Raw genomic sequence first — 24195 nt, forward strand, 5'->3', positions numbered from 1 at the left:
CTGAGGTCCCATCAGCCACCCCGGAGACGAGAGACGCTCATTCCCCGTGTGTGTGTGAAGGCGCGTGGTGTGGGGTGCGGGAGACTGTGTAACAGGCATTGCAGTGTGGAGGTTTCACCCAGTCGTTTTCATAAAACTTGGCTTAAACCCTTGGCCCCAATTCCCACCCCCTTGATGGAGGCAAAGGCTGTGGCTTGGAAAGACGACATCACCATGGTGCTTAGTGGGGCAAACCCAGTTTTATAGACAGTATTGAGGTGGCCTTGAGCACCCTATGTACCAGGCAGTGCCCTCTCACCCTGGAGGACGCAGCTAGACCCCCAGGCTCTAGGGGAGAAGGCCCATCCCATGGGCCAGGTGGGGCAGAGGCGAGGCTGTCAGGAGACGCGGCACAGGGATGGGCCTGGAGCTCTGGAGGAGTGCGAGGGCCTAGCAGCGGCTGTGACCTGGGGACGAGGTTGTGACTGTGGCAGCTGGCTCTTCCCAGGGGCTGGGTGGCCCAGGAGCTCAGTCGGTTGCCCGTGAATGTGGCCCAGTGCACACCTGGCCCCAGGTTCCATGTGAGGAGGCCCCAGCAGGAGGGGACAAGACGGTCTTGGGCTCAGCCCCATGAAGCTTACGTTCTAGTGCAGGAGAGCGATGGAAGCCAGAGGAGCCGGTGGGCAAACGAACAGAATCCCAAAAAGCTGTGGGTCCAACCACAGACCCAGCTCCACCTCCCACGTCCCTCCACAGCGTCCAGGCTGGGGGTGTCCTCGGTCCTGGGACCATGCCTGGCCCTACTAGGCCTGGCCCTGAGATGCCTTGACATTCAAAAATCAGCCAGGAGTGTGTGGATGGTGATGACTGTGTAAGTATCACTCAGGGTGAGGCCAGGCCTGCCGTGACGTCTTCTCCCACAATCCCTGGGAATTTGAGGGTAACTGCAGAGCAAGTGGGTTATTTTTTTGTTTGTTTGAGACAAGGTCTCGCTCTGTCGCCCAGGCTGGAGTGCAGTGGCATGATCTTGGCTCACTGCAGCCTCAAGCTCCTGGGCTCAAGCAATCCTCCTGCCTCAGCCTCCTGAGTAGCTAGGACCACAGGCATGGTCCAGGGTTTCGCCATGTTGCCCAAGCTGGTCTCAAACTCCTGGGCTCAAAAGATCTGCCTGCCTCTGCCTCCCAAAGTGCTGGGATTCCAGGCGTGAGCCACCGCCCCCAGCCAAATGGGTTCTTTACTCATTCTCCACTCATTGTTCCAGATCATATCACATTTCAGTCTTTCCCCAAGTCTCCTGTGTGATTTCTTGTTTTCGTGGAGATTTAATGACCCAATTTTTATATGTATGCCTTTATTTATCATTATTTTTCTCCCTCAAAATCGTTGTTTCTCCATCATAACATCCATTCTGTCCCACCCCCTGCTGCCCAGAAGCCTCCCCGCATCCCCTGGTGTCTGTTCCAGTGTGGACTGGTTGTCCCCAGGTCTGCTCCACTATTCCCGACCTTCCCTTCCCTCCACACAGAGCTGGATCTACAGAGTCATAGTGCCTGTGTTTCCCTTTCTTTGTTTTGCCACCTGCTCCTGCTGGAGCACATCCTCAAGTAACTTCCTAGCAACAAGGGTATGAAAAACAAATACGTGTGCTCTGGCATTTGTGAAAATGTTTTTATTCTGTCCTCTCACTTGATAAACCATTTGACTGTGTATAGAATGCCAGGTCGAACATTACTTGCCTCAGAACCGAGAAAGCATCTTCTCCCCAGACTCCAGTGTTGCCAGTGAGATCTAGAAAGTCAATTAGTTGGGTGTGGTGGTGCGTGCCTGTAGTCCCAGCTACTCTGGAGGCTGAGGCAGGAAGATGGCTTGAACCCGGGAGGCAGAGGTTGCAGTGAGCCGAGATCGAGCCACTGCACTCCAGCCTGGTGACAGTGAGACTCTGTCTCAAAAAAAAAAAGTCCTTCTGATTCTGCTCCCTTTGTGGCTCACCTGTTTTCTTTTCCTGGAAATTTGGAAGCCATCCATGGAGATTGGAAATTCAGCAACGATGCCTCTGGCTATGGGCTATTTTCCTCCCACCATCCAGGGAAGGCCACAGGAAATGGAAGAAATCGTGACACTGGTGCTGTACCATCTGTTCTGTGAATTCCCTGGCCATCGTCTCCCTCTGTTTCCTGTGTTTCTTATTGGGACTCTGTCTGTCCGATATTAGGTCCTCTGGTTTGGTCCTTTACTTTTGTTTTAATCTAAATTCTGGTGGATGTTCTCGACTTTATTTTCCATATTCTCTGCTGAAGTTTGTATTTTGGCAATTGTATTTCAACCTCCCAGTGTTCTTTCTTGTTCTCTCATTGTTTCTATTTGTGTCTTCCTATGATTGTGATATTTTCATGAGTCCTCTGAGCACTTTCATTAGAAGTTCTTGTTTTTAAGCTTAATGTGCTGGGACTTGTTTCAAGAGCCCCTGCTTCCCCTGAGGTCCATGCTGCCGTTTCAGGCTGTTGGAGGGATGCTGGGCAGGGGCAGGCGGGAGCAACCTCTGCTCTTGTCTGAGTAGCTCTTCTTTCCCCTGGGGTAGGACAAGGTGTCACCTGGAAGCTCCGCTTTGAGGGAATGGCAAAGCGGCCACCTCTCCCGCTTGGTGTCCCAGGAGCTGGAAGGAGACAGGCCTTTGGGGGGCCTGCTGGTATCCACAGGCAGTTCTTTTGAGTTGCTTGGAGAATAATCTAATTTACTTCCTGGGGTATAAGCTTCCTGTCTTCACTCCAAGTGAGGAATTGGGGGTGAGGGGCAGTTGTCCCCTCCAGCCCCTCCTCTCACACCTGCCTTTGGCTGTCCCTGGGCTCTGAGTCCGGAGCCCACCCTGCTTCACCCCTGCGGCCACTCGTGGAGACGCCAGGCTGTGGGTTTCTCTTCCGTTCACCGAGAGTCCACTCCCATTCCTTTCCATGGTCCAGAAACTGGTTGGCGTCTCTCACTGCTTGGCACCTGTATCCCTCCCAAGCTCCTTCCTGGCATGAACCAGTTCTCACTTGTTCTTCTGTGGGGTCTCAGGAGGGGTGAGATGGGCACAGAGCCTGGTAATTCCACTGGGGTTTGGATAAGCCAGGAAGGGATACGATGAGACAGGCATTTTAGGGGGGCCTTTGGAGGCCGCTCAGAGGATGGGCTGGATAGGGGAGGCGCTCACAGTAAGGAGGGCAGGTAGGAGGTCACCACCGGCCCCAGGGCAGTGAGGATGAGGCTGACTGCGGCTTGAGAGGGCTGTCCCACGTGACACAGTGGAGGGGTGGACTGTGGCTTATTCATCTCCACTGAGGCAAGGCTGGGCATAGGACAGGCTGTGAGGACAGTGAGCGGAAAGGAGACAGGAAGGTGGGGCGTTTCTGGTGGGGTGAGGGTGGCACTCCTGCAGACCCTCAGTGGCTGCTACAGCAGAGAGCCGGGGAGGTGAGGTGGCCTGCTCCCTCGCCACCCACGGAGGAGTGGGCCCTGCTCATCCCTGGCTTTGCCCGTCCACTGGTGTGATTCACTGTCGCTTACCCTGGAGAGACGGCTGCCCCAGGTTTATTTATTTATTTATTTTTAAATTTTTTTATTTTATTTTATTTTTTGAGACAGAGTCTCGCTCTGTTGCCCAGACTGGAGTGCAGTGGCGTGATCTCGGCTCACTGCAAGCTCCGCCTCCTGGGTTCATGCCATTCTCCTGCCTCAGCCTTCCCAGTAGCTGGGACTACAGGTGCCCACCACCGCGCCCGGCTAATTATTTTTTATTTTTTAGTAGAGACGGGGTTTCACCATGTTAGCCAGGATGGTCTCGATCTCCTGACCTTGTGATCCGCTCACCTTGGCCTCCCAAAGTGCTGGGATTACAGGCATGAGCCACCGCGCCTGGCTAGGTTTAAACTGGACAGCTTCCCGGGGCCAGCCTACAAGCGGCGCCCACAGGGCCGGAGAGGCCATGAGATGATAAGATGCAACCTCTGCGTTTGTCAAAGAGAGCTCCGGGTGGGGTTGGAGAGGGACCTGGGTGAGCTGCTTGGCCTGGAGGTCAGGTCTTCCCTGGGGGAGGCCAGGGAGCTCTGCATGGCCTTGACCCCCTGCAAAGAGGGTAGGGGCGGCGTGGGGCTTTAGTTCTGCCCCGTGCAGTGGGCAAATTGGGCCCATGCTTGGGGTTATGGGGGAACTGTGTTATCCCAAAATTCATATTGAAGTCCCAACCCCAGGACCTCAGAGTGGGCCCTTATTTGGAAATAAGGTCGTTGGAGATGTCATGAGTTAAGATGAGGTCATGCTGGGATAGGGAAGCCCCTAATTCAATCTGGCTGATGTCCTTATAAAGGGGGAGATTTGGACACAGGCACGGAGGGAGAGTGCCGTGGGAGGAAGAAGGCAGGGGTCGGGGTGTCACTTCCTCAAGCCAAGGAGCGGCCGCGGCTGCTGGCGCCACCAGGAGCTGGGTAGAGGATGGGACCATTCTTCCCTCGCAGCCTCGAGGGGAGCCAGACCTGCCCACACCCTGACCCGGACTCCCGGCCTCCAGAGCTGGGAGAGGAGATCTTTCTGTTTCTGTTGTTTAGGCCCCAGTCTGTGGCACTCTTTATGGCAGCCCTGGGGATCTCATATGTTCGGGGTACAGAGAGGAGGCTTGGCTGCCTGGGGCTCCCTCTCTCCACCTGGCCCCACCAACAGCTGCAGTTCTGGGTCCAGCACAGCCTCATGCTCCCACCCTGGAGGCCTGACACCGAGGGTCGGGGGAATGAGGCCAGTCCTGACCTGGCCTGTGGCAGGTGCAGCTGTCCCGGGGCTGCGATGTGAGGTCCCAGGGACATGAGGCGAGGGCGTGGCCTGCAGCTGGCAGAGGCCCCTCCACAGCGCAGAGCTGAGATGACCTCGTCCAGCGCCACAAGGCCTTGGCGCCATCCCACCGGGCTGAGGTGCGTGGGCAGCACTCACCATGCTCCCCCTGAAACCACAGTCACAGACCAACTGTGGTGGCCCAGCTGCCTGGCCTCCTCCAGGGAGTCTTTGGGATTCCCTGGGCGGGGTGAGGCACCCCTGGGACTCCCATGGGCCTCTGTGGCCCTCTAGTCCCCGCCAGCTTGTCAGTTTCCCGTTAGTTGAGGATTCCCCTCTGGGAGCCACCTGTACCCCAGACCTGGGCACAGGTGGGCTCTGCAGGATCCCTGGATCCCAGGCTCCCTCAAGCTTCAGCAAAGAGACCTCCCTCCCTCAGCCTGGTCCTTGGGCCCTCCAGGACCTGGGGGAGTGGCCAGTCCCCAGTAGGGAGAGGAGGAGAACACAGCTATCTGGGCGAATGTGACAGCGGTTTGCCAGCAAGCCCACCCTGCCCACAGCACCCCTGCCCCGCTTTGCTGGAAGAAGGTGTGGCCTGGGTGTGGGAGGAACCTCCACCCCCAGAAACCCAGCACAGCAGCACTGCCAGACTGTGAAGGGCCCCACGCGCGTCCGGGGCCCTCTCCGTGAGAATCAGAGGTCACACAAGCCACAGCTGTAAACGCTCATCAAAGAGCACGATAGGCCACTCGACGAGTTCTGCCGCTAGTGACAGGGAGAGAGGCCAGTTCCGCCCCGATCAACCACGCTGGCCTACACCACTTCCGCCCTGATCAACCACGCTGGCCGAGGCCAGTTCCGCCGCCGATCAACCATGCTGGCCGAGGCCAGTTCAGCTGCCGATTAACCATGCTGGCCGGGGCCAGTTCCGCTGCTGATTAACCATGCTGGCCGTAATTTCATGACCTGTCACTTAGGATTTTTGTCCCTCAAAATGATCAAAGTGCCACGAACACGTGGGATGACAGCATCATCTGCACCACCCCATGCCGTGGAGGAAGAGCTGGGTTTGGGCATCAGGAGGTCCAAGTCTCTGCTATCATCCCTGTGCTGGGGTGGTCACCCATCCCCCAGGGCCATGTCACCTCACTCAGGAAATTGAGGTGATCAATGACTTTAGCAGAAGCTGGTTTTAGAGCAAAGTCCTTTGCAGGGTCCTGAGGGATGAAGCAGGGGAGGAGGGAACAGCTCCTGTTCTGTGGCTGGAGGTCCCAGGAGCACCACACACCTGGGCTCCCAGCCACTTGGAGGACAGGCTGGAGGGGGAGGCACCCGGGGTGAGAAGGGCAGGTGAGGGGTGGCAGGCCACTAATGACCCCAGGGCAATCAGGATAAGGCTGACCATGGCTTAAGAGGTGCTGTCCCATGTGACAGTGTGGAGGGGTGGACTGTGGCTTATTCACTGGAGGCTTTGAGAAACAGCCAGCACATCCCTGATGTGAGGCCGGTGGGTCTCCCTCAGCCGCAGTGTCACAGAGATCTCCCTGCTCTGCTGGCTAAGAGATTTCACGCCAGCTCACCTTGGAACTTGGCAAAAGGCCCAAGACAATGCCCAGATTCAGCTGTGTGGCATCTCGATCTCACCCACTTGAGCGCTTCTCCACCCCAGCAGGCCCGCTGCCATCAAGGGCTTACCCTGTGGGCTGCCCACGCTGCTGTAACCAGTGACCACAAGCTCCGTGGTGTTGAGAAGCACATGTTTCTCCTCCCACGGCTGTGTAGGTCCGGAGTCCTACGGGCTCAGCCAGTCCCCCTGCTCCAGGTTTAACCAGGCCGGAATCAAGATGCCAGGGCCTGGCTGTGCTTTGGAGGCTCTTGGTGAGAACCTGCTTCTGGCCTGGTGCAGGGTGTGGCAGAATCCCGATGCTTGAGTTTGAATGGTGAAATTTATGCTCCAGCGTGGCTGGGCCATGGTACTCAGATATTTATTTAGTCAAACCATATTCTAAATGTTGCTGTGAAGGTAATTTTTTTTCTTAAAGATTAAGATTTAAATCAGGCCATCTGCTTCACCTGATTGGATGTGGGAGGGCCTCATCTGATCAGGTGAAGGCTTTCAGAGAAAAGGCCACACTCCCTATGGAGGAAGAGAGGATTTCGGCAGCCGACGGACTCGGACTGGAGCTTCAGCACAACTCTTCCCAGCCTGCCAGCCTGCCAGCCTGCCGTGCGGATTTTGGACTTGACAGCCCCTGCAACCACACACACACACAGACACACACACACACACACACATACACATACACACACACACGACCTCTGGGTTCGGTTTATCTGGAGATAAACCGAATGATACACCATCCTAGGACTGAGGTCCCTATCCCTTGCTGATGGCCAGTGGGGCTGTCCCTAGCCCTGCAAGGCTCCCTGAATCCCCTATCACACTGTCCTTACATCTTCCAACCAGCAGTGGCAGGTGGAGTCTTTCCCACTCTTTGGATCTCTCTGACTTCTCCTACACTGCCCTGACTCCAGCCTGATGGAGTTCCCTGTTTCTAATGCCTTCTGTGCTTAGACCAGGCCCTCCCAGATAATCCAGGACAATCTCCCTGTCTTAACATCTCTGATTAGTAACTGTAATTACATCTACAAAATCCTTCTTGCAAAATTACATTATATGCAATGTGACGTTCACAGGTACCAGGGTATGGATAAATCTGGGGGACCCAATTTGGCTGCCACATTTGCCCTTGGTGAGCTTTATCCCCTTCCTCCCCCTTCACACCCCCAGAGCTCTCAGCTCCTCCAGTGCATCTAAACCTGCTCTGGGGCCCCTCATCCCACCAAGATGTCAATAGCAGAAAATGAGCCCCTAGTGGGACTACCTTCTATCAGGCATCAGAGGCAGGCTTGGAGGGACTCATTCTCTGTGGTGGGACCTCAGGCAGGAGACGCTGGGTCACGGAGCACTGTGTGGATGTGCTCCACACCAGGCTGTGGCACAGGATGCTGCCAGTCCCCAGTGGTGAGGACCCTGCACCATCATGTTCAGCAGAAGACCAGCCATGCAGGCCCTGTAGTCACCACATTCATTTATTTTCCCCCTTCAGTCACCCTGTGTCAGTTAGCTACTGCTGCGTAACAAACAGCCCCAATTTAGCAATTTACAATAACCATTTGTTTAGCTCATTCAAGAGTGAAGGGCTGAGGCCATTTTTGTGATCCACTGTGTTCCTCAAGCCCTAGACCCACCCAGCTCAGCAGCCAAGGAGGCAGAACCTTACAAGTTGCAGAGTCTTACAAGTTGTGGCAGTGTTAGGATTAGTCTTCAGCTGCCTGGTGTTTGAGGCCATCCAAGCCTGGCTCCACTCCACTGCCACCTTCCCCCATCCAACTCCCCACCAAGGTGACATCTCATGGCTGTGCCAGACCACGTTCAAGCTACACCCTGCAGCACTGCCCTGGCCACAAGCAAAAGCCTCGCGCCCCTTCTGCTGGCCAGCCCATCCTGCAAGGCAGACTGGGAGCCTTCTCTGGGTGACCGTGGGCAAATCAATCAGCCTCTCTGAGGCTTGGTTTTGTCAACTGCAAAATCGAGGTGCTGATATGATGTGCCTCCCAGGACCATGTGCAGATAAGTGATGGGAGGGTGACCATATGCATTGCATAGCCTGCCCCAAAGGCACAGCCTCATTCTGGCAGGTTCTGGGGGCTGCTCCTCTGGTCAGCTTGCCCTGGGCCTGCAGAATCTTGACTTGAGCCCCCAGGGGTGGGGTGCGGGTGGGCTTCAGGTGGTGGGCCTGCCCCTGCAATGTTGGAGGGGCTCTTGAACCAAGAATGGTGTGATGCTTAGGTCACCTCTTGTTTGGGGCTGGAAACAGGTCCTGCTGTGGCCTGAGCTGCGGTGCAGGGACTCTCTCTGATGGGTTTCAGCTTGCCCCTCCTCGTGTTTGGGCTCCCCATCATCACCCTGGCTCACACGGTACAAAACTCCTCTGGAAGCCTGTGCAGGTCGGGGGACCCAGGTTGCAAGTGACAGAAACAAAACCAAACTGGCTGAAACAAAAAAGTGACTTTATTGGCTTATGTGATGGAAAAGCCTGGAGGTTAATCCCGGGCTCTGGGCGTGGTGGAATCCAGGAGCCGAACCCCGTTCTTGGGATGGAGTCTCCTCTTCTTGCAGTTCTGCTTTAGTCTGAGGGAGGCTTGTGCTTTCCGGTGGTAAGAACAGCCCGGCTCCTGCCCTCTAGGGTGAGGAGAAATGCCTTCTTTTCGGGAGTTCTGGATAAAGCCCCGCATGGAAGCTCCCCGAGTTGCCTGGGGCCGTGCACCAACCCTAGACCCCTCTGGCCTAGGGGATGGTCTGCTGTGAGTGCCGCTCCTGATGCGGCTGCCTTAAGAGCTGGGGAGGGATCTGTTCCTTGCAAGGCAAGGGACAGTGAGTGGGAAGAGGGTGGGCTCCCAAGGGGCTCTCTCCAAAAAGGTGAGGGTGCCGGGCAGGTGCCTGGGGCAGAGTCCAGGCAGGAGCAGAGGGCACACACCAGCAGAGCGAGTTGAGTCCAGGCGGGAGCAGAGGGCGCACACCAGCAGAGCGAGTCGAGTTCAGGTGGGAGCAGAGGGCGCCCACCAGCAGAGCGAGTCGAGTCCAGGCGGGAGCAGAGGGCGCACACCAGCAGAGTGAGCCCAGAGGGTTTAAAGAAGGGGCGGTCTCTACGGTATGGGTAGAGTCAGGGGAACTAGGAAAGGACAGAGCAGAACCTGGGGTAGGTAGCCGGGGAGCCAGGGCTGACCCACGCCTGAGGACAGGAGGGACGCAGGCAGACCCCAGAGGAGGGCCCGGGCCGCCCAGCAGTCCATGGCAGGGAGACGCAGGCGCTCCTGCCCAGGACCGGGAGAAGGGGTCTGGGGATAAAACCCCGATCTCTCTCGCCCCACCCCATTATTTTCTGTGAGCTTCCTCTTAGCCATACACGATGAGCAGCTGGTGGGCAGGGGCGCCCCTTGACACAGCCATACGGGATACGGGTAAGGCTGGGTGGGGGTGTCTGGGGGGCACACAGAGAATAACCAGCACACAGCCAAACCCGTGCTCTCTAACCCGTCAACAGAAACTTAACAATAAGTGTTCATAACCTATACGAAGGCAATCATAAAACACTCCTGAAGACACAAAAAAAACCCGAAATAGAACAGTTAGGATGTTCCAGCATCACCGAGATGTCAGCTCTCCCTAATTTAGGGTATAAATTTAATGCGATTCTAATAACAACCCCATGCGTTTCTCTTTCAAAGAGAGCTAGAACTGATACTAACGTTCACATGGAAAAATAAACAAGCCTTGCCAGGGAAGGGCGGGGTGAACGGGGCCAGCCCTATCAGACGCTAAAGCACGCAGTGGGGCCTCTTTAATGAGAACAGTGCCAAATGACACAAAAATACACAGGGCCGTGGGAGAGGAGGGACAGAGACAGGCCCCCCGCTGACGCCGTGTGTGAGGAGGGGGCGCTCCAGTCACTAGAACGGTCTTGGTATTTCACATAAAATGGTACTGGGACAAGTGGAAAACCATTTGCAAAAAAGATAAAATTAGATCCATTTCTCACACCATGCCCAAGAATAAACTCCAAGTAGATGGGAGTCCTAAATGCAAAAAACTGAAATATACAAATGCTAGAAGCAAACATTTGTGAATTCCTCTATAAGAGCAATGAAGAAGGGCTTTCTGTGACTACAAATCCAGGTGTAATCAAAGAAAATATTCATACAATTGCCAATGAAAGCAGCTTATGCAAGGAAAAAACTAAGCAAAACGAAACGACAAATGAACCAGGAGAAAATATTTGGAACTCGCTTCCTAGAGAAAAGGCTCATGTCTCATGTCTCTACTACACAAAGAACTTTTCAAAGTTAAGAAGCACAAATGCAAAGTGTAAGAGCTGCTCTGCTCTAATCCCACGACCTTCCCCACAGCGTCGCCGGCAGGGTGTGTCCTCAGACGTTTGATTTTTGCCAATGTGATGGCAGAGAAGTGTTTCCTTGGTGTGGCTTCAATTTGCATTTCTCTTCTGTGAGGAAGTTGAACACCTTTTCAGGCAGCTAAGGGCCGTTTTTACATCCCTGCTTGGGAACTGTGTGTTCACGCAGTTTGCTGATTTTTTCTATAAGACTTCTAGAAGATATTGATAAGTGAAAGAAAGCACCACGCCAAACAACACAGTAGTACGCTGCCTGTTGCACGGAGTGTAGATACGACTGCCTGTCTTTACAAGCAGCAGCACAGGAAGAATAAACAAGACAACAATTAGATTAGCTTCCTGCAGGGAGTGGGGGAGGGGCGGGGAGGGATTCTCCAGGGAGGCAGCCCAGCACACCTTTTCTGCACTTCTGACTTGCAGAAGCATATTCGTGTTCTACATATTAAATCAGGAGGTATGAGAAAGGGAAAAATAAAATGGACAGAAAACGGGAAAAATGGGCAAATTACATCTCAAATGAAGAACACAGCCACAGTGGAAACCAAAAAGAAATGAAGAACTAATCCAAGAAGCCATGAACACGGTGTCTGTCCGGCAGCCTCAGGCAAGGTCAGAAGGTAAGCGGGGAGTGCGAACGGGCCCAGGGCAGCTTCTCTGGTGCATGAGTTTTACTCTTGTAGTGGAATGAACATGGCCACACTAAAGGCATCACAGGCGCTGGCACAGCCGTGCACACCAGGTCACACATCCACGTCACTGGAAGAAGAGACAGACCATCAGGAACGTGGAGGGCCAGGAAGAACCCCTCAGGCAGGGACTGCACGTCAGCGTGAGTCATGCTCTCAGAAACACGCATGCGTGCGTCATGCTCTCAGAAACACGCATGCGTGCGTCATGCTCTCAGAAACACGCATGCGTGCGTCATGCTCTCAGAAACACGCATGCGTGCGTCATGCTCTCAGAAACACGCATGCGTGAGTCATGCTCTCAGAAACACGCATGCGTGAGTCATGCTCTCAGAAACACGCATGCGTGAGTCATGCTCTCAGAAACACGCATGCGTGAGTCATGCTCTCAGAAACACGCATGCGTGAGTCATGCTCTCAGAAACACGCATGCGTGAGTCATGCTCTCAGAAACACGCATGCGTGCGTGAGCACGTGCAGACGCGTGTCCTCGTGTGCCTGTCTTTATGTCCGTGTGTGTGTGTGTGTGTGTGTGTGTGTCTCTGGGTGATGTGCCTGTGTGCATCTCTTAGGTCTGTCGGCTGAAAGGCTTAAAACCCTTCTATCTTTGACACTGGCACCCAGACCTTGCCACTGGCTCCCAGACCTTGGTTGCTAATATATTACCCATTATATACCCAGACCTTGGTTGCTAATATATTACCCATTATATACCCAGACCTTGGTTGCTAATATATTACCCATTATATTACCAGGGCTCCTCAGAGAAGTGGCTGATTTTAGGGCTGGTGCAAGAAAAGTACAAAAATAGCCTGGAACATCATGTTATGCCAGAAAGTAACGAGGCACACACACAGGCAAACAAAGGTGGCATGTCACAGACTCCAGAGCCAGCACGGAGGGGCGCCTTCTGACCAAATTTGGAACCATTTGAGCACCAAAATATGGAAGTACAGCAATGAATCACAAATCCTTGAAAAAAAAATGGGGATCCAAAAGAACATACTATAGTAGCTGACGGATGATTGATGGCCAGAGAGATAGAGATGATTGATAGGTCGATGATGTGTAGAAGATAGACAGGTAGGTACATGATAGGTAGATAGACAGATGATAGATATGTGACAGGTAGGTAGATAGGTAGGTAGATGGATTACACAGATAGCTGATTGATAGACGACAGATTGAGAAATAGATGGATAGATAGATAGGTAGGTGACTGATGGATGATAGGTGAGATGGAAGGGCTGTTGTTTCAGCGGAAGGCCAGCTGCTGACTGGTGAATGTCGGGGAAGTGCCGGGTTCCAAAGCTGACGTTCTGGCCGGCGTCGTTCACGGGACATTCCTCCAGGGGGAGCTCTGGTGAGGAGCAGACCGTGTCCATGCTGGTAAAGCGTCCCCCGCCCCGACCCCCGAGAGTGCCCCTGAGCTGGAAGGAAACACTGAGCGGTTGTCCAGCAGATCACTCCGCAGCTCCTCCATCAGAAACATCACCAGCATCAGAAACAACACCAGCAGTGAGAGGCGAATGGACATCCTGTGCCCAAGAAAGACACACACTCTTTCTTGTGGCGCTGAAGCCAAAAATGTGCAGGCTCCGTCCAGTCCCAGGAACTGCCAGACGACCCCAAATGAGGACCCATCTATTAAAAAAAAGCCCCGTGTTCTTCCCAAATGTCAGCAGTGTACATGACCAAAACCATGGAAATGTTCCAGATGAAAGAGAACCACAGAGACAAGACGCATCAATGCAACACCTGACCCCAGAGTGGCCCTGTGCTGGAGGACAAGAGCCGTGAAGGACATTCTGGGGTCAGCTGGGAACACGGGAACACAGCTGGGAGAGAGGACTGTGTTAGGATGCGGCTGTGATGGCAAGCTCGCATCCTAACACAGTTAGGGATGATGTGGGAAGAGCTGTCTGTCTCTAGGGTCTCTTTAAAGGCAAGGAGGTGTGATACATGCTTGCAACTTAATACCGAATGGTTCAGAAAAGTCACCCGCAGCGCACCAGCAAGCAAGCCAATGAGAAAATAAATGGGGCAGGCTGGGCGCAGTCATTAAGCCCAGGTGAAAGGTCTATGCTGTTCTTGTACTATTTTTATTTTTGTAGTTTTTCTGTTGTTTGAAATTATGTCCAAACAAAATGTTGAAAAAAACAACACAACGAAAACCCTGCTCTCCACCAAAGTGTCTAAGTGAGGCACACAGACATCGCATGCAAGCAAATCGCTGCTGTTTGCAAAAATCTTGCAAAGCGGCCAACTCATGCCCCCTACCTAGTTACCCCTCCAGGAACCCTTGAGATAAATGATGCAAGAACACCCCACCATCATAATAATAAAGCTTGTACAGTAATAACAATTATAATCTGCTGTAATAACGAACCCCCGTGTGTGCACACCACTTCACAGTTTATAAAGCATTTACCAGACTCCATCAGATCGTCACGGCAGCGAAGTGAAATGTGTGCTCTATAAATGATGCCTCAATAAAGTTGTCAAGTTTTTAAAGGGGAGTCTTGATACCTGTTTTGCCGGGCTGTGGTGAGGATGAAGTGAAATCAGAAAAGGACAAAGCTTTGGGAATTCTGAAGCAGCTTCTCAAACGGTGGTCTCTCGGCCCACCTGGATGGCAGTCCCCCAGGGAGCCTGTTGCTGTGCAGATTCCTGGGGGCTGTCCCCAAAGCTCCAGAGAGTCTGGGACCCTCCCTTGTAGCTCCCCTGGGGAAGCCAGACCAGAGTGCAGCTGCAGAAAGGGCAGGCAGAGGCAGGAGCCCAGCCCTGGTGCCTGGTGCCCTGGGTGGCTGGGCCCAGAGCTCAGAGCACTGCCCAGGGAGCATGGTGCCTCAAACTGAGCCCCGCCCTGGGTAGGGGGAGCTGCCCACACTGACCCTTCGCAGACTTTCTCCAGTGGGCGAGTGGAGTGGGCAGGCTGTGGCCCCTCATATCCCCTGGATGCCCGCCCGGTGGAGCTCGGCTATAGGCGATCCCTAACAAGCGCTCCAGGGCCCTTGCATTCCAGGTCGAGCTGGGCGGGGTGGCTGTGCTATCAGCGAGCCCCCAGAAGCTCGCTCAGAGGGAGTGCATTTGAGCCAGCACCCAGTTGCCACCTGAGATGCAGAAGGCTTTCCTTTTTCAAAATTAAAAACAATTTAATTGCGGTCAAATACACAGAACATAACATTTACCATCTAAACCAGTTCCGGAGTGTTCAGTACATCCACACTGTGTCCCACAGCCACCACCACCAAACCTCTCCAGGATGTTTTCAGTAAACCAGAAGATGTCCCCATTAAACAACTCCCGGGCCTCCCTGGCACCCACCCTTCTATTCTCTGTCTCTATGAATTTGACTGCTCTAGGAATCCCATGTAAGTGGAATTGGATAATGTTTGTCCTTCTGTGACTGGCTGATTTCGCTGAGCATGGTGTCCTCAAGGGTCATCCATGTTGTAGCCTGTGTCAGAATGTCCTTCCTCTTCAAGGCTGAATAATATTCTGTGGTATGGATGGACCACACTGTGTTTATCCATCACCTGATGACGGACATCTGGGTGGCTTCTGCCTTTCAGCTATTGCGTTGCAGTGGGAAAGCAGCCAGGGACAGCATTGTTCCTGAACAAACGTGTGCAGCTGCTTTACCAAACCAAGTGGCGGGCCCAGCAGTACCAGCGGCTTGGGGGTGGGAGATGCACCAGGACCAGGCAGAGGACCCAGAGGGTCTGATCCCCAAAGGCTGTGGCCCTGCATGTGTGCAGGAGGCAGGGAGATGCAAACAACAGACACAGGCTGTGCACTGCTGCCAGCTGCAGCAGCAGGGACAGAAGGGAAAAACCAAGATCTGCAAAGCCATCCGTGTCTCATGAAAAAGGGTGGCCCCTGGCCTTGCCTTTCTGGAGCAACATATGTAGACGTGGGTGCACACCCACACACGCCCCCACATGCAGGGCACGTGAATGAGTCCCCAAAGCTTCCAGAAGCACCAGCCGGGCAGTGCAGAATCAGACCAGGAGAATGAGAGGCTGCCCCCACTCCCCCAGCACCGTGTGCCACTGGGAAGAGCCTCCAGGGACGTTTCCGTGCTCCTGGGTAGCCCCGGGCTCTCCTTGTTCTTTCCAGCTGGAGCTGGCACTGGCTGAGCTCCTACTGTGTGCCAGGCCCTGGGCCAGGCACAGGACACACAGGCCCCTCCAGTTCCACCAGCAACCTGAGGAGGCGTTAGGTTGGGCCCAACCCAGACGGCCCACGAGGGCACAGGGAATTCAAGTGAGCTGCTGGAGGACCCACGGCCATCGAGCGGGGGAACCAAGACACAGAGCTGTCAGCTGCCAGCCCAGGGACCCCAGAGGTGGAAGGGCCATTTGCTGTGTCTCCTGGGCAGACCCTCTGGGCCTCATGTCCTGCTTGGCTCTCCTGAGCCTTCTCTTCCACACCACGGGACAGCAGTGACTGTCTCAAGGGGTCACAGCAAAGATTAATCAGATCATGTAGGTGAAGTTCCTGGGCGTGGTTTGCCCTCTAAAAGGTGGCTCTTGCTCCTGGGAGCCCCCACCATCCAGTCACAGCTGGAGCCAGGTCCGCCTAGCACCCCGGCCCTGCTAATTGAATAAATATTCATTCGTGTTGAGTACCCAAGTACCATGGTTTCCATGGCTACCCACTCCTAATGGCTTAATGAGACAAGGGCCCAGATTTTCCAAAACCCACATGAATGCCGGTCCCGATGGGAAGCGTGCCCATCCCATGGGGCGGGCCTTGCTCAGCTCCCTTTGGAAACATCAGAGACAGAGTGGCCTGTGGTCCAGGAGTGGGGATTCAACAAACAGCCGTCAGCCGTCAGCGTGTGTGGATGGGCAAGGTCTGTGAAACCCCAGCCCGAGGCCGGTGGAGTCGGAGAGCCTGGGCCCTGCATCACCCCGCACGCCACGCTGCCTCCCTTCCACCTGTTGGTTGGTTTCACTACATGCCAAGCGTGTCTCCCGTAGCAAACATGAGCCCAGAGCCCCGGCCCCTGCTGCCACGGCCCTGAGCCCTGCAGAGCCATGTCATGTGCGTGTGTGTGTGTGTGTGTGTGTGTGTGTGTGTGTCACCTGCCCCGCCCTGCCCACTAGGCACTGTTGAAAGGGGTCAGGGCCATGCACCATCTAGCCCTGTCCTGCCTTTCTATTTTACCCATCCTCGCTCCTCTTCCTCACTAGTCTCTGACTTTCTGTCCCCCTCCCAGCTGACACCAGAACGTGCCCCATGGACCTGATGCTCAGGGACTGTCTGGGGGGCCAGCAATGATGATCAGGGTCAGGGGCTGTAGGAAAGGTGGGTCCTGGCCGCCACCTTCGTCACCAGCAAGAGTAGATCTCAGGCAGTCACAGCCGGTGGGACATGCCCACGTGTCTGCCCCCCTCTGGTGAAGAAGCAGTCACAGGACCATGCCCTCAGCTTCCAAACCTCCCGAGTCCCACTTGAGTGCTCCTGGTTGGCAGAACCCAGCAAGAGGCGATGGCGCCCGGGCAGTGCAGGGGAGAGCAGAGGAGAAGCTGCACTGAGTGGCCCGTGGTCCATCTGGCCATGGCCCAGGGCGGCCCTGCACCTGCAGACATAAGGCCTCGGGCAGCCACTCTGGACACAGAGGTGGGAGCAGGAGGGTCGTGCCACACACATTTGTTCATGAATGATCCTGTCCCTTTGCAGCTTTCTCAGGAACCCCAAGAGCAGGTGAGATGCCTGGCCAGGGAGCTTAGCACAGCCGTGGGCTGGCCTGCAGGCAGCCAGCTGCCGTGCCAGTCACCAAGGCGGGGCGGTCAATGGAAATGCTCCACTAAGTCAGGCACAGATGTGGGGAGATAGCACCTGCGACCTTGGACTCCCCATAGGTGGCCCGGAGTGCTGGCCTTCCTCATGCACACTCCACTGTTTATATTTAAACAGCATGAGGTTCCCACCCAGGGAAGCAGCCTGGTCACTTGGGAAGAGTCCTCCACCAGAGAATGCTCCCTGGCAGGACTGATAATGAAATTGAAGCAACGACTGAATGCCGCCACAGCAGCCTCGGGATGTGAGCTGGGGTTGGGCAGCTGGGGCTTCCCTCCTTTCTGGGAGCTGGCCCCGCTTGAGCCTGCAGAGCAGGTCTGCTGGGGACCGGAGGTGGATGGCAGGCCGGCTCAGTTCCCACAGTAAGGGTGTGCGGCAGGAACACAGCCGGGCGCCTGGTGTCTCCAAGAACCCTGCGAGGGGCCTGCACCACTCTCCACTCGGGGTGGGTTCTGCAGGGTCCTGGAAGACGGTGGTAGGTTGTGTAGAGCAAGGGAGAAGGGACCCCATAGGGAAGTCGGCAATGGTGAGGGCCGGCACCACGCCAGGGCCTAGGGGAACCCAGCAGTGCTGGAGGCCTCCCAAGAGGGTGGCAGCCCTGCCTGAGCCTGGCCTGGCAGGGAGGGCTCTGGGGAGACCGTACCCCACCTCTGTCCCACACCTCGAATCTCAGCCAGGGGAACAGTTGGGAAAAAGAGGCCCAGGTAGAGAGATCAGGAGCAAGGTAAGCCAGGCTACCCTGTCCCTGTCCCCTCCCACCAGGCCGGTCACCTCATGCCCCAGCCCAGGGCCCCTCCACCTCTGTCCCCTGGAACCCTGAGGCTCGGCACACCCTGCAGTTTGACCTGGGGGACTCCTGCAGGTTTTACACCCCCTCCCTTGGCACCTTTGGCTGCATCTGCCGGCTGAGGAGAGAGGAGGTTGACCTGGCCACTCTCAGCCCAGAACCTGCCTGAGAGCAAGCAGGACTGAGGATGCCCACTCTCCCCACCTCCGCACCCACCTGCCAGCCATTCCTGAGGATCCCACCCCGGGCTGGTCCCAGGTCCCTCCCCTGAGTAGCCCCGGAGGGCACAAGAGGCAGCCAAAGAATGAGTCCACGTCCCCTCATCCCCATGCTGGGGCCTTGGCAGCCCTCAGGCGTCCTGAGGAGCCCAGGGGGGATCTAACCCTTCCAGGGGTGCAGGAGGGCTTCCTGGAGGAGATGGCTGGGCTGTTCTTGGCGGCTAAAGAAGAGCAGGCCAAGACGGTCAGGGTGGGACAGGCATTCTGTGCTGAGGCACCCTTGTGGGAGGGCACTGGGGGGGCACGGGGACAGAGCAGAGCCTGGTCTCCTGGAGTGGCACCTGTGGGGCAGGAGGCATGAGGAGGGGCACAGGCTCCCAGCCACCCCTGGGGGCTCCTGGCTGGGCTGCACTCCTGCCCAAACAGCGAGGGAGATCCCTGGAAGGTCCCTCCTGGCGAGGCCCAACTGGCCTGGGCTCAGGCAGCTCCCCTGAGGCCGAATGCCCCATGGCCAGCCCCCCCGACACACTGGGGGAGTGCATGGGGCAGGGGCAGAATGGCACCTGAGGCATGCAGTTGTGGTCCCTCTGCCCCCCGAGGCCTGGCGCTTAGGGCTGGCTGGTGGGGGGCAGGGGACGTGGGGGCGGTGGAATTCCCCTCCTGGGCACTGGCGGGCCTTGCCGCCGGTGCTGTAAGTTTCCCAAAGACACCTGCACTTCACCTTCTCCCTTCCCTCCCAGCTACGAAGGCAGGGGCGGACCTCCAAGACCGCGGCAGGCGGGGGTCCTGTGACCTGGAACCAGGAAGGGTGCCTCCTCGGTCATGAAAAGGAGGAATGTGCCTCCTCGCAGGATTTGTATTTTATTTCCTGCAATTGAAACAATATCTGGTGTGAGGCATCTAATTACCGCTCTTTCCTAGAAATTGAGCGATAACACATCCTGTCGATACAAAGCTTTTGTTAGAGTCAAACACAGTTTCCCAGGGCAATTCCAATGAACACTGCACTCAAAAGTACTTTGGTTTTTAAATAGTTTCTCTAAGTATAATACCGAGCCTGATGCAATCTACTTCATCTTTTGTTCTGGCTCTATTTCGAAAGTACCTTTGTACTCCTGTGTTCCTGCATAACAATAGCTGATAGTTCCTGCTCACTTGAAGAAGATCCCACCCAATTAGAATTTTTAGAAGTGGGAGAGCCTTTAGAGAAATCAGAGCCAACCCACTCATTTGTCAGCAAGATAAACTGAGTCCTGGGGTGAGTCCCTCAGCGCGTCAGAAGGTTATAGAGCACCAGACTAAGGTAAGAGCCAGGAGGTCAGGGGCTGGGCAGAGGGAAGTAAGGAAAGGGATGCGGGAGGCTGGTAGCTGGCAGAGGAACAGGTGATGGTCGGCGTTCCAATTCCACTGTGCCTTGATGCCATCAGCACCCCAACCCTGACCCTAATCCTCACCCTACCTAACCCCATCAGCACCCAACCCTACTCCAACCCTAACCCAACCCCATCAACATCCCAACCCTAGCCCTGACCCCAACTCCAACCACCTTCCAACCAGAGAAAAGGCAAATACATCCCTGAAGGACGTCACACTTTGCAGAGAGCGCTCTCACGTCCTTTGTCGTGAGAAATAAAAATGAAATCCTAAGACCCCCAACAGACTGAGCAGAACACCCCTTGGCCAAAGGGACCCCAGAGAAACCTTGGAAGCTGAGTTCCCACCGTGATGTGAGGGAGGTGGGACCCACCTCGTTGTACCCCCTCCCTCCCTTGCTAACCATCACTGGGCTTCCCCTCTAAGGGCTGCAGAGAAACCGGATCTTCCGAAAGATTCCGCCCTGGTTTCAACCAACACCTGACCTGCCCCTCCCTGGTGCGAGTTTGACACAGCAACCAGCCAGCGTTCCTTCCTGATAGGAGACCACGGGCCACAGAGAGCTTCTGGCCAGTCGGCGGGGGATGTACAGCAAGGGTTTCCGTGTCCTCCGCTTCACCTTTCCACATCAGAGGGTGGAAAACTCCACCCTTAGGTCATGCTGCCATTGTCGTGTCTTGAACGTGGGTCCTATGGAGAGGCAGGAAGCTCAAGTGCACGCACGTGTTTCTCCTTTCATGTATATTCATGACTCCTTCCATAGCTTGTTGAATATGTACATTAGGCACCCCCTGCTCAGCAAAGGGAACCTTCCTGTTCCCTTTGCCCCTCCCTCAAAATGTCTGTTTGCAGCTTCTGGCCTGAGGCTACGCTTCTCAGCCATCAGAATGGCTGCTCTGCAGGCTGCAACCCTTTATGAGAAATAAGGCTCTCCTTTCCAAACTTACGAACCTTGTCATTCTTCAGTTGACAACCTTTTAGGCTCTAGGAGTCCATTTTGTTCACTGATGTATCCCTAGGTTTCAGACAGTGCCCAACACAGAGTGAGCACTTCATAAACATTTGTTGGATGAATGGAGAGTGAGCATGTCCATCAGTGGCGGCTGGGCCTGCATACTCGCCTATCAGCACGTGTCTGCGGAGCCTCCTTCTGTCTCCAGCAAATTCAATTAGTGGCTTAAAGCAATAGAAATTTATTCTCACAGCAATGGAAGCCGGAATTCTGAGGTCAAGGTGTTGGCAGCACTGTGCTCCCCATGAGGGCTCCAGGAGTTCTTTGGCTGTGACCCCATCTCTCCAGTCTCCCCCTCCATCTGCACATGGCCTCCCTCCCTGGGTGTCTCCTCTTCTAATAAGGACACCAGTCATAGTGGATTAGGATGGGCTCCAATCCAATAAGATCACATTCACATGTGCTAGGGGTTAGGACGTGGATATATCTTTTTGGGGGGACACAATTCATTCCATAACCATGGCTTTCTTTCTTTTTTTTAATTGTGTGCTATCAGAAAACCATTAGTATATTTCCCATGAAAATCCAGATCTCTGTCCCTCTTCCTGCATGAGAACTTGCAGGGTGGACTTGAGAGGTAGCTGTCTCCTTCTGATAGGGTATGTGCCACGGACCACCCTCCCAGCCCTCCTGTGACCTGGGTGCTGCAGCCCTGAAGTTGCAGGCCCTTGATCTGCCCAGTGGTTTGCAACTGGGGGTGATTTTGCCCCCCAGGGGATATCTGGCAATATCTGAAGACATATTTGGTTGTTGCAACTGAGAAGTGCTCCTGGTGTCTAGTGGATGGAGGCCCGGGATGCTGCCAAACTTCCTACAACACACAGGGCAGCCCCCACGACAAAGACGAGTGCAGCCCAAAATGTCACAAGACACAGGTGGAGAAACTCTGTTCTACGGTGATAGGATATTGATCTGGGAATATGGCTGCCATGTAAAGACTACATTTCCCAGCTTCCCCGACATTAGGGGTGGGCATGTGACCAAGTTCTGGCCAATGGGGCATCAGCGTAAGGGAGGAACACAACTTCCAGGTGAAGTCGCCCTGTGATGGAAGGGCCATGGGCCCCCATCCCACTGTTGTGATGCCATGGATGTGGTGCCGGGGCCCAAGCTGCCCACTAGGGATGGCAGGGAAAAGGCAAAAGGGGCCTGAAACTGGGGCTGCCCACTGGGGATGGCAGGGAAAAGGCAGAAGGGGCCAGGAAGTCCTGCCCAGGCTTCCATGTGGGACAGAAAGGATCTTTTATCTTGCTCAAGCTGCTGTGCTTTGGGGTTTTCTTGTTACAGCAACATCACCTGTACCTTGACTTACTCACAGTTATCTCAGTCCAGTCCCGTTGCCTCCTATGACAAATTTCTGGTTTAAATCAGAGCCTTTCTGGGATGGGAAAACTCGAGAAGAAAACATAGCAGATCTTGCTGAGTGTGGGCCCAAGGTGTCCAGGTTCCAACACAAACATTCCAGGGCTGTGGGCAGTGGCGAGGACGGCTCAGCCCGCATCCCTGCCTTCCACAAATACTTGGGAATCAGGATCGATGCAGGAAGCTGGAGGAAGCTCCCAGGGTCATGGCAAATGTGAGCATTCTTAGTTTATTTTCCCAAACATGTTAAGGACTCTTCTTCATTTTCCTATTAAAGAAAACCTCAAAGCAAACAAAACAAAACAAATCTCTGAACTCCCTCCAGCTCTGAAGCACTTGTCTGCTCTGGTCAGATTCACAAATCGTGGGCATAAATTACTTTTGTTGAATTAACCATTCCTACCCAGAACATTCTCTGGATTCTACCTGGAAGCAGCTGCAATACAAGGTATCAAACCTGAGGATGGCAAGGGTGGCCTTAGGGAGCACGTCACGCCTCACACATGGGCACCCGCCACCTGTGGGCCTGCCCACACTTTCCACGCGGGCACGCCCACACTTTCCACGCGGGCACGAGAGCAGGTGGTGTGTGGCGTCTGTGGTTTCCGTAACCTTTGGCCACAGCTGGGGACAGGAGCTGCACCACTCTGTGGCCCTTTGGAGCTGTGCACATATTCAGGGCTCAGCAAATGAGAGGCAGCAATGCAGGGTGGAGAGTGGCTCAGGTGAGCGCTGGGCACAGGTGCTTGCTGGGTCTCAGTGTCTTCACTGAAGGAAAACTGCCTGCCTCGTGGAGAGAGGGGTTCCTTCATGCATTCACCATGCCGGGTGCTGGGGCGAAGGGTTGATTAGCACTGGGGTGCGCATCCCAAACAGGCTACGTGGTAAACAGCAGCCCCCACAGCAGGAAAGTGTGGTTGACTGGGGTCCCCGTGGAGGTGACCACCTTAGGGAAAGAAGCCCCGGTGTCCATCCAGGGGCCCCTATGTGGTCTTTGTTGGGGTGGGTGGCTACCGCAGAGGTGGTCACTGTGGGTAGAGACTGGATGGGGCAAGGCCTGAGCCCGAGCCCCAATCTACCAGCCACTCCTTGGGGACCTGGGGAGCCGCATCTGCTCCCACGGCCTCCGCTTTCTCATCTGCAAAGTGGGGAAACCATGGCACCCAACCCTCAGGGGCGATATCAAGGTGAAATAAAGCAAAAGGCTTTCAAACTCTGTTGAACACTCTGAGAAGTACTCGGAGGTCTCCAGGGGACAGCCACCCAGGTTAGGGAGGTCTAGGGGTGAGCCTCCATGGGTCAGTAGAGGATGCACTGGCCACAGGTCCTGGACTCTGGCAGCCCGGCTGAGGCGGGGAGGGGCGGCCCATAGAGCAGTGGGGAAATGGCCCAGGAAGCCTTCCCTGTGCTGTGAAGGCCAGGGCAGAAGCCCCCTCCACAAGAAGCCCTTCCTACTGCCCCAAGCCAGCACAGGCACCCTCAGCTCCTGTGGCCAGGCACTGCCCAAGGCTGATTTATCTGTGACCCCAAGCGTGGCATGGAACCTCACACAGCGGAGCACCACAACCGTCTGCTGTGTTGAAAATAATCAGAGCTGTCCTAAGACGGAAGCACGCTGCTCAGAAAGCAGTGAGCTCCCCATCGCCTGGGGTGTGCAAGCAGAGGCTGGGAACGGCCTGAGGCACATCACAAGGCAGACTCAAATGTCAGCTGGGAGCAGATCCAACAGTGATGATGATAATGATGATGAAGATGATGAGGGGGAAGAGGAAGAGGAGGGTCAACTGCGATTTGCCGAGAGCTTGCTACGCGCCAGGGATCCTAAGGTCTTAGTTCTCTTTATTAGAATTGTTTCTATTTGCCAAAGTAACTCAAGCACTTGGAACAAATTAAACAATACAGGGATAGATAAAGAGAAATGTAGCATCAGTCTCCTCCCAGGCCTACTCCTCCCCCAAGCCAGGTACCCAGGGCTGCCCAGTGCAGGGGCGTTGGCAGAGGCAGTTGGTACACAGTACCCTAGTTAGTCCTGAAAGCTACGCATTCGAGGCTCAGAGAGATGAGGCAATTTGCCCAAGGACCCACAGATGGAGACAGGCTGGGGGTGGGGCAGGGTTTCAGTCACCTCTCCAAGCTCTCCTTGGAGTCCAGAGATGCAGCTCAGCCTGGCCCTCCTCTCCTCTCCTGGTGGCAC

The 24195-nt window shown here is 55.0% G+C and overlaps 7 annotated features.

The window, feature by feature from the left end:
* Positions 10983-12182: an enhancer, noted in NCBI's record as "P300/CBP strongly-dependent group 1 enhancer chr4:3747634-3748833 (GRCh37/hg19 assembly coordinates)". NCBI's record gives its function as "activates an origin of replication core promoter dependent on BRD2, BRD4, P300/CBP, MED14 and CDK7 cofactors, with strong dependence on P300/CBP, by STARR-seq in HCT116 cells {active_cell/tissue: HCT116}" and the evidence as "EXISTENCE:reporter gene assay evidence [ECO:0000049][PMID:35650434]".
* Positions 11153-11678: an enhancer, noted in NCBI's record as "H3K27ac-H3K4me1 hESC enhancer chr4:3747804-3748329 (GRCh37/hg19 assembly coordinates)". NCBI's record gives its function as "activates a minimal SCP1, AML or CMV promoter by ChIP-STARR-seq in naive H9 embryonic stem cells {active_cell/tissue: H9 hESC(naive)}" and the evidence as "EXISTENCE:reporter gene assay evidence [ECO:0000049][PMID:30033119]".
* Positions 12202-12372: a silencer, noted in NCBI's record as "fragment chr4:3748853-3749023 (GRCh37/hg19 assembly coordinates)". NCBI's record gives its function as "represses an EF-1alpha promoter that drives an FKBP-Casp9 reporter gene in an ReSE screen in K562 erythroleukemia cells {active_cell/tissue: K562}" and the evidence as "EXISTENCE:reporter gene assay evidence [ECO:0000049][PMID:32094911]".
* Positions 14282-14782: an enhancer, noted in NCBI's record as "H3K4me1 hESC enhancer chr4:3750933-3751433 (GRCh37/hg19 assembly coordinates)". NCBI's record gives its function as "activates a minimal SCP1, AML or CMV promoter by ChIP-STARR-seq in naive H9 embryonic stem cells {active_cell/tissue: H9 hESC(naive)}" and the evidence as "EXISTENCE:reporter gene assay evidence [ECO:0000049][PMID:30033119]".
* Positions 19198-19903: an enhancer, noted in NCBI's record as "OCT4-NANOG-H3K27ac-H3K4me1 hESC enhancer chr4:3755849-3756554 (GRCh37/hg19 assembly coordinates)". NCBI's record gives its function as "activates a minimal SCP1, AML or CMV promoter by ChIP-STARR-seq in primed H9 embryonic stem cells {active_cell/tissue: H9 hESC(primed)}" and the evidence as "EXISTENCE:reporter gene assay evidence [ECO:0000049][PMID:30033119]".
* Positions 19198-20611: a biological region, named in NCBI's record as "BRD4-independent group 4 enhancer GRCh37_chr4:3756063-3757262".
* Positions 19412-20611: an enhancer, noted in NCBI's record as "BRD4-independent group 4 enhancer chr4:3756063-3757262 (GRCh37/hg19 assembly coordinates)". NCBI's record gives its function as "activates an origin of replication core promoter dependent on BRD2, P300/CBP, MED14 and CDK7 cofactors, and independent of BRD4, by STARR-seq in HCT116 cells {active_cell/tissue: HCT116}" and the evidence as "EXISTENCE:reporter gene assay evidence [ECO:0000049][PMID:35650434]".

Source organism: Homo sapiens, chromosome 4 (assembly GCF_000001405.40).
Source record: "Homo sapiens chromosome 4, GRCh38.p14 Primary Assembly".
In the NCBI taxonomy this organism is placed as follows: Eukaryota; Metazoa; Chordata; class Mammalia; order Primates; family Hominidae; genus Homo; species Homo sapiens.